Source organism: Homo sapiens, chromosome 18 (assembly GCF_000001405.40).
Source record: "Homo sapiens chromosome 18, GRCh38.p14 Primary Assembly".
Classification (NCBI taxonomy): Eukaryota; Metazoa; Chordata; class Mammalia; order Primates; family Hominidae; genus Homo; species Homo sapiens.
Genome location: NC_000018.10, coordinates 9,422,482 through 9,434,711, shown reverse-complemented (window position 1 = coordinate 9,434,711; position 12,230 = coordinate 9,422,482). Strand labels below are relative to the sequence as shown.

The 12,230-nt window shown below is 45.4% G+C and overlaps 1 annotated feature.

Annotated features, from left to right (window-relative positions):
• Positions 225-344: an enhancer, noted in NCBI's record as "active region_13074". NCBI's record gives its function as "activates an Ori minimal core promoter by ATAC-STARR-seq in GM12878 lymphoblastoid cells {active_cell/tissue: GM12878}" and the evidence as "EXISTENCE:reporter gene assay evidence [ECO:0000049][PMID:35858748]".

Sequence of the window (12,230 nt, the reverse complement as noted above, 5' to 3'; positions counted from 1 at the left end):
ACAGGTGTGGGCCACCGCGCCCGGCCTGTAACCCCTTTTTAAGGGCAGCTTCTTCCCACCCCAAAGGCAGGCCCAGGCCCATCTCACTGTGCTCTGCTGGGGAACGCTGCTCTGCGCTGGGCCCTCCCTGTTTCCGGAGAGTGGGGCTGCCCCTCCGCCGTGCAGGCCTGGCTGAGGCTGGGCCCGCTTCCTCCTGACCGCTGCAGCCCCCGGGGCTCCCCAGACAAAGGCAGTTACACAAAGAAACAAAGGAAGGCTTAGAAGGGTACACGTCCTTGCTAACTCAGAACGGCTCCTGAGCTGCAAAAGATGGGTCCTAAAGCTGGAGCTGTTCCCTGGGAGGGAGGCCTCTGTGTGCCCCTGCCTCTGTCTGAGCAACTCACAGCCTCCTCACTGTCCCCAAAGCTGACTGCCTGCAGCCTCTCTGCTTGCCCGCCGGCCGCCTGTCGCTAGGCTGCCCCCAGGCTGCCCCCTCCCCCTCTACAGACTCGTGCTTGGCTTTCCCTCTCTTCCTGAGGTATCTATGGGACCCCTTTAGTTTGTAAAACTGGGCCTCCTTTTCCACTCCAGAAATTCTCCAGCATAAAATCTGTGCTCTTGGGGAGTGAGGAGGAGAGGTCTTCCTAGGAGTGCAGGGGTGGGGTGGAGCCGGGGTGGGGTGGAGCCGAGCTGGGGCGGGAGGTCTTCCATCTGTTGAATCTATAAATACTCTGAGAGACGTCTGGGAGGGGAAGCAGATGGAAAGAAGGTGTGATGAAGGGGCTTTCACTTTTTGCTCCATGTATTTCTGCCTTGCTGCATTTTTTTTACAATCAGCATGAATTCATGCTTTACTTGTGTAATGATAAAAGGGAAAGAGATGCCTGGCTGGCTGAAATGAGTCGTGGGTTTACAACGTATACATTTTCATTTGCCTTCTGCTTTTCACGGACCAGGGGTAGTCTCTGGAGTGAGGCCACCGGAGGAAGTAATGCAAGACGATGTCAAGGGAGCTGCAGCAGGCCAAGGGCGTTCTCCAGCTTGCTGATGTTTGTGCCCCAGATAGTGAAGTTTAGAGGCAGTTCGTCTTCAGAAGCACTTCAAATAAATACATTGTATTAGTCCGTTCTTGCACTGTTACTGGAGACTGGGTGATTTATAGAGAAAAGAGGTTTAACTGGCTCATGGTTCTGCAGGCTGTACAGGAGGCATGGCTGGGGAGGCCTCAGGAAACTTACAATCATGGTGGAAGGTGAAGGGGAATCAAGCATGCATTACATGGCTGGAGCAAGAGGAAGAGAGAGAAGGGGGAGGTGCTACACACTTTCAACCAACCAGATCTCGAGAGAACTGGCTCTCTAGCAAAGGGGAAGTCCGCTCCCATGATCCAATCACTTCCCACCAGGCCCCTCCTCCAACATTGGGTATTAGAATTAGGCGGCAGTGGCTCACGCCTGTAATCCCAGCGCTCTGGAGGGCCGAGGCGGGTGGATAACTTGAGGTCAGGAGTTCAAGACCAGCCTGGCCAACACGGTGAAACCCCGTCTCCAATAAAAATACAGAACTTAGCCAGGCATGGTGGCACGTGCCTGTAATCCCAGCTGCTTGGGAGGCTGAGGCAGGAGAATTGCTTGAACCAGGGAGGCAGAGGTTGCAGTGAGCTGAGATTGCCTCACTGCACTCCAGCTTGGGTGACAGAGCAAGACTCCATCTCAAAAAAAAAAAAAAAAAGAATTAGACATGTGATTTAGGCGGGGACACAAATCCAAACCATATCGTACATATATAAGGAAAGCACCCAGATCAACTTAGTCTTACTGGCTGTGAAATTCTATAAAGCTCAACAGTGGTAAAAAGTATCTGCTCACAGTTGAAATCTGGCTAACAGAGGCAAAGGACTTTATAACTGATATGAGACCTACTGATATCACAAATGACAACATCTTTGTAGACCAAGTTTACTTTTTAGAATATGGAATTCTTTTTTTTTTTTTTTTTTTTTTTTTGAGACGGAGTCTCGCACTGTCGCTGGGCTGGAGTGCAATGGCGTGATCTTGGCTCACTGCAACCTCTGCCTCCCGGGTTCAAGCAATTCTCCTGCCTCAGCCCCCCTAGTAGCTGGGATTACAGGTGCCCTCTCACCACACCTGGCTAATTTTTTGTATTTTTAGTAGAGAGGGGGTTTTGCTATGTTGGCCAGGCTGGTCTCAAACTCCTGACTGCCCTTGTGATCCACCCACCTCAGCCTCCCAAAGTGCTGGGATTACAGGTGTGAACCACTGCACCCGGCCAGAATTTTGTTTTAATTTTAAAAAGAAGGCTCAGTGCAGTGGCTCATGCATGTAATCTCAGCACTTTGGGAGGCTGAGGCAGGAGGATTGCTTAAGGCCAGGAATTCGAGATTAGCCTGGGCAACGCAGCAAGACCTAATCTCTTCAAGAAAATTGAGAATTAGCCAGGCATGGTAGCACATGCCTGTAGTCCCAGCTACTCAGGAGGCTGAGGCAGGAGGCTGACTTGAGCCCAGGAGTTTGAAGCTAAAGTGAGCTATGATGGTGCCACTGAACTCCAGCCCAGGTGACAGAATGAGACCCTATCTCAAAAAAAAAAAAAAGAAAAAGAAAAAAAAGCCAGGCGCCGTGGCTCACACTTGTAATCCTAGCACTTTGGGAGGCCAAGGCAGGCAGATCACTTGAGGTCAGGAGTTCAAAACCAGCCTGGCCAACATGATGAAACCTGGTCTCTACTAAAAATACAAAAAAATTAGCTGGGTGTGGTGGCCAGCACCTGTAATCCAAGCTACTTGGGAGGCTGAGGCACAAGAATCATTTGAACCCAGGAGGCAGAGGTTGCAGTGAGCTATTTTGCCATTGCACTCCAGCCTGGGCGACAGAGAGAGACTCCATCTCAGAAAAAAAAAAAAAAAAGAAAAGAAAAGGAAAAAGAGCAAACAAAAATACTTTCACTATAAGACTGGAATGTTGAAAGAGAATCAGTTTTCTAAATAAATAATTCACTGGGAGGCCATTAGACTGAGGAGGCTTCAGCACCCTGGCTTCCTAGTAAGCAAACGAAACCCACCTCAGTGTCAACGGTCATATCGTAGGCCAATCGGAACTAACTTCTAACTAGGGACTTTTGCTGGATGAATTTCTTTGCCTTGCTTCTGTATTCACGTTGTCAAAACCCCAGTGTCCCTTCAGTGGTGCCCCAAGCTACTTAAGGTCTGGTGCTGCCCAATTCATGAATCTGTCTACTCAAGAAACTCTTTAAAATTTTAATGTGCCTTAGTTTATATTGTAACAGGGTGATATGGGTTAAGGAAAAGAAACCTTATAAAAGAGGTGATTAGTGAAATGTTGGATATGAAGCAGAGGTGATCGCCCTTGCTGCTAAAACCATTAGCTATGTAAAAGCATTCTGCACAGCACATTTTAAAATTAATTACTGCTTGTTAATACAGGTTGAGTATCACTTATCCAAAATGCTAGAGACCAGAAGTGTATGGAATTTTGGAAATTTTTGGATTTTGAAATGTTTGCACGTACATAATGAGATATCTTGGGGATGGAATATCTAAACACAAACCCTATTTATGCTTCACGTACAGCTTATACACATAGACTGAAGATAATTTTACACGATACGTTAAAATGATTTTGTGCATGAAATGAAATGTTATTTTATTACCCTTTGTGGACATGCTTGCCTGGGGGAATCTGGGAATGAGTGGAAAATATCTATTGCAGCTAAGGGGCTGGGAAGGTCTTTTTTCCCTTGGAGCCACTGGATAAACCATGCGTTGTGTGCCTGTGTTTTCACTGAGACCCTTTGCATGAGGTCAGGTGTGGAGTTTTCCATTTGTGGCGTTAGGCTGGCACTCTAAAAGTTTCCGATTTTGGAGCATTTCCAATTTCAGATTTTCAGATTAGGGAGGCTCAACCTGGAGAGCAGCATTTGAAAAAAATAATAAAAAGTGTTCCTTAAGGAGTATGAATCTAGAAAGTAAATGTTTTCCCTGCACTTGATAATTTAGTGAAATCAAATGCAGAGAAAATAACTGACCTCCTTGTAAATAAAACCAATTTAGTTTTTAAAAAAGTGCCTACTGGGAAATGGGGAGCGCCTCTGCCCGGCCGCCCCGTCTGGGAGGTGAGGGGCGCCTCTGCCCGGCCGCCCCGTCTGGGAGGTGAGGAGCGCCTCTGCCCGGCCGCCCCGTCTGGGAGGTGGGGGGCGCCTCTGCCCGGCCGCCCCGTCTGGGAAGTGTACCCAACAGCTCCGAAGAGACAGCGACCTTCGAGAACGGGCCATGATGACGATGGCGGTTTTGTCAAAAAGAAAAGGGGGAAATGTGGGGAAAAGAAGGAGAGATCAGATTGTTACTGTGTCTGTGTAGAAAGAAGTATACATAGGAGACTCCATTTTGTTCTGTACTAAGAAAAATTCTTCTGCCTTGAAAAAAATAAAATAAAATAAAATAAAAAATAAAAAAGTCCCTAAAATTGTGATTTGCAAATATGGACACTTTCACTATTGTATCAGACTTTGCCCAAAAAAGTGAGTATCTGTTTTATATGGTACTTACATGGACAGAGTTAAGACAACCGAGATCTGACTCAGTTTGCCTTTTTAAAAATGTCCTAGTCATTATAGCTTCATACCTTTATACAAGTGACCTTTCTAATAGTGGCTCATGAGCAATTACAATAGAAACAGTCAAATTCCCAAGGCTAGGAATGTAAAATGAATCCAACTGTTTAGAGGTGGAAGCTTCTAAAAAAGAGCAATCTGCTATCTTTGAGTTGTTTGCCATCTTGTCATTTGTCCTCGTTTGCTCTAAGTACCCGCATTGTTCTGCATTCCTGAGTTTTTGGATGTCCCAGGGACTGGTCCTTGTTTAGAGCAATGTTCTAGTGTTCGTCATGCAAATGTGGTTTTGCTTTAAACATGAATTCAATGTGTTTGCTGATTTGCAGATGCCTTGATTGTTCATCATACAAACCTAGCTCTGAGGACCTCATGAATTGTGAAATGGGTAATGCTTTAAAACAAAGGAGGTTGTTATTTTGTTCTCCTACTTTGAGCATTATTTTTTTGGCATTTGCCAATGTCCAAGTAATTTCCCAGCTGTTGAATAGAGTTCTATTTCTTAACCCATAAATTTGCAACTTGAAAGGATGCTTGACTCAAGGGCTTCTGAAACTAACACAGTTTGAGATTGGCATTGCATAATAATAATTTGCCCTACATATTTGGTACCAGGTTTTGGATATTTTTGGCTACCTCTGACAACCAGAGTAATTGTTCTGTGTATGTCTTTCATTTGGCACATGAAAAGGTACAGATCCTGCCTGGAGACATGTGTACTCTTTTTGAGGGAATGAAATATTCCCAGAGCACTAACAGTCAGAGGCTTACTGAATTCAAGCCATGGCATTTCAACCCATGCAACAGTGCATGGGCCAAGAGTGTGGCCCCTCACACTGAGCTTTGACTGCCCGCCTAGATGGAAACAGCTCTCCACTGCTCCATTCTCTGGTGCACGTAGTTCATCGCCTCAAACACCATTCTCTGGTGTTCACAACACACTGGTGCTAGTGATGTTAGATTCAAAAATAACTAGCAGACAATTAACGTGTCCAGGCAATCTTGCATCATGGGGAGTGGTAGGACTGGCTGAGATTTGTATCGATGTGATTCATGCTGTCATGGTACGATCTGTATTTTTGCATATTTCTCTTCAAAATAAAAAGTCTGACATACCCCATTCCAAAAAGAGACTCTTACTCCCCTGGCTGAGGATCACTGCTTTAGGAAGCAACAGGGAAAATCTAGAAGTATCTGAAGAGGAGAGAAGAAAGGAGGAGGAGGCCCCAAATGTGAGTTTCCTGCTTTCTCAAGTGAGTCAAATTCTGACGGACATGGTCTTCCAACAGAAAATCATTATTAGGTTCAAACCCACTGTTTTACAATAAACATTACTAACTGCTTTGCCATATAAATGCCTGTAAACACATAAATATCTCATTAGAATCCTGCTAAACTTCCTTCAAGGGAAACAGAATCAATATTTAGCAGCTGGGCAAATTGCCAAAAATTCATATTAATTTCCCCTTGAGAGAACATGCCTTTCAGAGCCCTTATCCCACCATCAGAGAAGCCTCTGATACAGGCGGTGCCTAGGACACCACCAGATAGGCCGGTGACGCAGCCCTCTGTGAGGAAACACGTCAGTCAGTCCACCTGGTTGCTCTTTCCATCCCTCTCAAGCCTTCTGTCCTCTGTCTCAGCCATGTGAGCAGGGCGTTCTGGAGTAAACACACAGCAAACCACCACAAGCCAGGGAGGCCGCACACCCGCCCTCGTCTGCCTCTTTGTGATTTTAAGAGGTTGTTGTCTGTCGGGCCTCCGTCTCCTCGTCTGTTAAGTGAGGAGTTGATGAGCAGTGCCTCTCAGTCTCATACACTGAGGAACTCCAGTGGCAGAAGTGAGTTTCACCCAACCCAAGGGTCTAGGGATGAGGCCCAAATAACCTTGCCAATAGTGGGAATGTTTCTTTCAAGACTTACATTTTTATTTTTAGAATTTATGAGAATCTAACATTCTATTCTGTAATATAGCTGTGTTTATTTAAATATTAAAATAATGTCTTGCCAAGTGGGGTGGCTCACACCTGTAATCCCAACACTTTGGGAGGCTGAAGTGGGAGGATCACTTGAACCCAGGAGTCTGAGGTTGCAATGAGCTCTGATTACATCACTGTACTCCAGCCTGGATGACAGAGTGAGACCCTGTCTCAAAAATATAAAATAAAATAAAATAGTCTTAAATCACTTCCCATGAAATAAAGGTAATACGCTACATTCTTCTTGTGCCTTTGAGAACTGCCTGGCTTCTCCCCATGAGCCTGGGTACATGTGCCTCAGTTTAAGTGGCATGACTTGGGTGTGGGCCATCAGCAAGGTGCTTCCCGTAGTGTCATGCTGTGACAGGTGTGCTGGGTTGAATGCTGGCCCCACAAAGTTGTCCAGATCCTAATCTCCTATGAATATGACCTTGTGTAGAAAAGGGACTTGGCAGATGTCATTAAATTCAGTGTCTTGAGATGGGGAGATCAGCCTGGATTAGCTGCATGGACCCTATGTAATCACCAAGGCCCTTCTAAGAGGGACAGAGAGGAGTCACAGTTGGAGGAGAAGGAAGCAGAGACTGGAGTGATGCCCTTTGAAGGCCAAGGAAGGGGCCATGGGCCAAGGAATGTGACAGCTGTTGGAAGCAGGAAAAGGCAGAAAACGGATTCTCCCTTCAGCACCTCCAGGAAGAACCTGCCCTACTGACACCTTGACCTTAGTCCAGTGAAACTGACTTCAGACCTCTGGGCCTCCAGGACTGTTAGATTATAAGCTTGTGTTTTTTTAAGCCATCAGGTTTGTGGTGCTGATTTGCTACAGCAGAAACAGGAAATGAATATAAAATGGTATAAAAACCCAGCTTATTTCAGTAGTTTTTCTCAGTGCCAGAAATCCTTGTTCATAGATTCATTTTTTTTTACGCATTGCTAAGTAAATCAGAACAGTAGCTGCTTTTGTTCGGGCGTGCAGGTATACAAGACCATTTTCTCCTTCAGAGGACACATTGCTGGGTGCTCGTTTGAAGCCGACTCTCCTGTTAATGGCCTGACAGCTTACACTTTTTCTCTAAAGGAGGAGTCCATGAGACAAAAGAGTACATAAACAATTGTCCCTGCCCAGTCAATACACCCAGGCAGCCCTGGCCCGGAGGGCCTGTCTTAGCTCAGACTTGGTCAAGGAAGAGCAAGAAGATCCCCACGTGACATCTGCCAGAAGTCCCTCTCAGTCTTAACTGGCTTTGTCACTCTGCAGGAGTTAAGGGGCCAACTTCCGACTCCAGTCTCACCTCCAGTTTCTCACACTAATTTCTCTTGCAAAAATTTAACTGATTCATCCTAGGGAACTTTTCATTTTCATTATCGTGACACAATTTTCCCTCCTTCCTTCCTTCCTTCCTTCCTTCCTTCCTTTCTTTTTTCTTTCTTTCTTTCTTTCTTTTTCTTTCTTTCTCTTTCTTTTTTGTTTTGAGACGGAGTCTCGCTCTGTCGCCCAGGCTGGAGTGCAGTGGCATGATCTCGGCTCACTTCAATCTCCATCTCCTGGGTTCAGTGATTCTCCTGCCTCAGCCTCCTGAGTAGCTGGGACTACAGGCGCCCACCACCATGCCCAGCTAATTTTTTGTACTTTTAGAAGAGTCAGGGCTTCATCGTGTTAGCCAGGATGGTCTCTACCTCCTGACCTTGTGATTTGCCTGCCTCAACCTCCCAAAGTGCTGGGATTACAGGCATGAGCCACTGTGCCTAGCCTATGGTGACACAATTTTCAAGCAAAAGGTGAAATCAAGCAAATGTTTGCAGTTTATGACTAATCATTTTAACTGTACTTTTAAACAAATTAAATGTTTATTATTTAAATTTTTCATTATGAAACATTTCAAACATATTCCATAGTCCTGGACTACAGCCACATCTCATTGCCACCCTTCTCCCCAACCCAAAGCCTCCTTTGCATCTTCCTCTTGTATCCCCCAACTTTAACCAAAAAGTATGGGACACCTCTCCTCCCTCCCTGGCAACCAATCACACACCCATTACTATCCCATTAAAACCTAATCACCCTTACCCCACTTAATGCCAGTATCCCATCCCACAGCAGGCTTTAAGGGGACTGAAACCTGTTATCAGTTGCCTGCTACAGCACGGGCTTCTAAAGCCTATAAACTCTCCTTACAATTCCCCCATTTTACCTGTCCCAAAACTGGACAAGTCTTACAGGTTAGTTCAGGATCTGCACCTTATCAACCAAATTGTTTTGCCTATCCACCCTGTGGTGCCCAACCCATACACTATTTTGTCCTCAATACCTTCCTCCACAACTCACTATTCCATTCTTGATCTTAAAGATGCTTTTTTCACTATTCCCCTGAACCCCTCATCCCAGCCTCTCTTTGCTTTTACCTGGACTGACCCTGATACCCATCAGTCCCAGCAGCTTACCTGGGTGGTACTGCCACAAGGCTTCAGGGACAGCCCTCATTACTTCAGCCAAGCTATTTCTTATGATTTACTTTCTTTCCACCCCTCTGCTTCTCACCTTATTCAATATATTGATGGCCTTCTACTTCGTAGCCCCTCCCTTGAATCTTCTCAACAAGATACCCTTCTGCTCCTTCAACATTTATTCTCCAAGGAATATCAGGTATCCCCCTCCAAAGCTTAAATTTCTTCTCCATCCATTACCTACCTTGGCATAACTCTTCATGAAAACACACATACTCCCCCTGCCGATTGTGTCTGGCTGATCTCTCAAACCCCAACCCCTTCTACAAAGCAGCAACTCCTTTCCTCCCTGGGCATGGTTGGATACTTTCGCCTTTGGATACCTGGTTTTGCCATCCTAACAAAACCATTATATAAACTCACAAAGGAAAACCTATCTGACCCCATACATCCTAAATCCTTTCTCCACTCCTCTTTCCATTCCTTAAAAGCAGCTCTAGAGACTGCTCCCATATTAGCTCTCCCTGACTCATCCCAACTTTTTCATTACAAACAGCCAAAGTGCAGGGCTGTGCAGTCGGAATTCTTACACAAGGATCAGGACTGTGCCCTGTAGCCTTTTTGTCCAACTTGACCTTACCGTTTTAGGCTGGCCCTCATGTCTGCATGAGGTGGCTGCTGCTGCTCTAATACTTTTAGAGGCCCTCAAAATCACAAACTATGCTCAACTCACTCTCTACTGTTCTCATAACTTTCAAAATCTATTTTCTTCCTCACGCCTGATGGATATACTTTCTGCTCCCCTCTCCCCACCCTCGGCTCCTTCAGCTGTACTCACTCTTTGTTGAGTCTCTCACAATTGCCATTTTTCCTGGCCCAGACTTCAACCTGGCCTCCCACATTATTCCTGATACCACACCTGACCCCCATGACTGTATCTCTCTGATCCACCTGACATTTACTCCATTTCCCCATATTTCCTTCTTTCCTGTTCCTCACCCTGATCACACTTGGTTTATTGATGGCAGTTCCACCAGGCCTAATCGCCACTCACCAGCAAAGGCAGGCTATGCTATAGTATCTTCCACATCTATAATTGAGGCTACCACTCTGCCCCACTCCATCATCTCTCAGCAAGCCAAACTCATTGCCTTAACTCGAGCCTCACTCTTGCAAAAGGACTATGTGTCAATATTTATACTGACTCTAAATATGCCTTCCATATCCTGCACCACCGTGCTGTTATATGGGCTGAAAGAGGTTTCCTCGCTATGCAAATGTCCTCCATCATTAATGTCTCTTTAATAAAAACTCTTCTCAAGGCCGCTTTACTTTCAAAGGAAGCTGGAGTCATTCACTGCAAAGGCCATCAAAGGGCCTCAGACCCCACTGCTCAAGGCAACAATTATGCTGATAAGACAGCTAATGAAGCAGCCATTATTCCTACTTCTGTCCTCACGGCCAGTTTTTCTCCTTCTCATCAGTCACTTCTACTTACTCTCCCGCTGAAGTTTCCACCTATCAATCCATCCCCACTCAAGGCAAATAGTTCTTGGACCAAGGAAAATTCCTCCTTCCAGCCTCACAGGCTCATTCCATTCTATTGTCCTTTCATAACCTGTTCCATGTGGGTTACAAGCCACTAGCCCGCCTCTTAGAACCTCTCATTTCCTTTAAGACATTTGTCCTGCATTTCACTCCATCCTTGGCTACCTTCCCCTTGTTCTTTGGACTCTCCTCCCAGCCCCCCTTCTTGTTTACTTATACCCAACCCCTGAATAACAATGGAAGGTTTCTTGTAGACACTATGTTCTCATAACTTTCTCTACATACTATAAAAATTGAACCTTCTCCTCTGCCCAGTTGCCCCATCAATCCCCATTACAACCTCTAACTGCTGCTGCCCTCACTGGATCCCTAGGAGTCTGGGTGCAAGACACCTCTTTTGGTGCTCCCTCTCATCTTTTCACTTTACATTTCCAGTTTTGCCTTACACAAGGTCTCTTGGAAGGAGGAAGCTCTGTAGATCCTCCACCTATGTGTGTCCACCTGCTGGTTGGACAGGCACATGTACATTAGTTTTCCTTACCCCCAAAAATCAATTTGCAAATGGGACTGAACAGCTTCCTGTTCCCCTCATGTCACCAACACTTCACTACTATTTTGTTTTGTTTTGTTTATTGTTAATATAAGAAGACAGGAATAGGCCTTGACTTACTGCTGAAAAAGGAGGACTCTGCATATTTCTAAATGAAGAGTGTTGTTTTTACCTAAATCAATCTGGCCTGGTATATGACAACATAAAATACTCAAGGATAGAGCCCAAAAGCTTGCCAACCAAGCAAATAATTACACTGAACTCCCTTGGGCACTCTCTGATTGGATGTCCTGGGCCCTCCCAATTCTTAGTCCTTTATACCTGTTTTTCTCCTTCTTGTTAGATATGAGTTCTAAATTTCTTTTCAAAGAATTAATATGTCAGTAAGTTCAATTCTTTGCCTTCTACTTTTAAACTTAACTTCCTTGTAAAGCAACCTTTTTTGATTGCTTACTCCACCCTGACTCATTCCGATTCCCTATGCCACCCTGACTCATTCCGATCACCTGCTCCACCCTGACTCATTCAGATTACCTGCTACCTGCTCTGCCCTGACTCCCGCCAAAGCACTCACCCCATCACTGTCTTTAAATTAGCCAATCGGAATTAGTTCAGCCTGTGCAGTCTAACCCCAGCCAATAGGGGAACGACACAGCAGCAGGGGCCAGGTGCGTCAGGGATAAGAATCCCTTCCCCTCCCTTGTCCAAGTGTGCACTCACCATTGCTTCATCTGTAAGGGCTCACCCTTCTACAGAAGTAACTTGCCTTGCTGAGAATTAAAAAGAAAATTTTATATTTGAGTGCTATTCCTTTTGCAGCACCAAAACTATATATACAACATTCTCTTATTTGGACCTTGTGTCTTCCATTTAGTTTCTCAATTCATTCAAAACCACATCCAGGCCATCACCAATCATTCTATATCACAAATCCTCCTTCTAATAACCCCACAATATCACCCCTTACCACAAAATCTTTCTTCAGTTTAATCTTTCCCACTCTAGGTTCCCACGCCGCCCCTAATCCCGCTCGAAGTGGCCCTGAGAAACATCGCCCATTATCTCTCCATACCACCCCCCAAA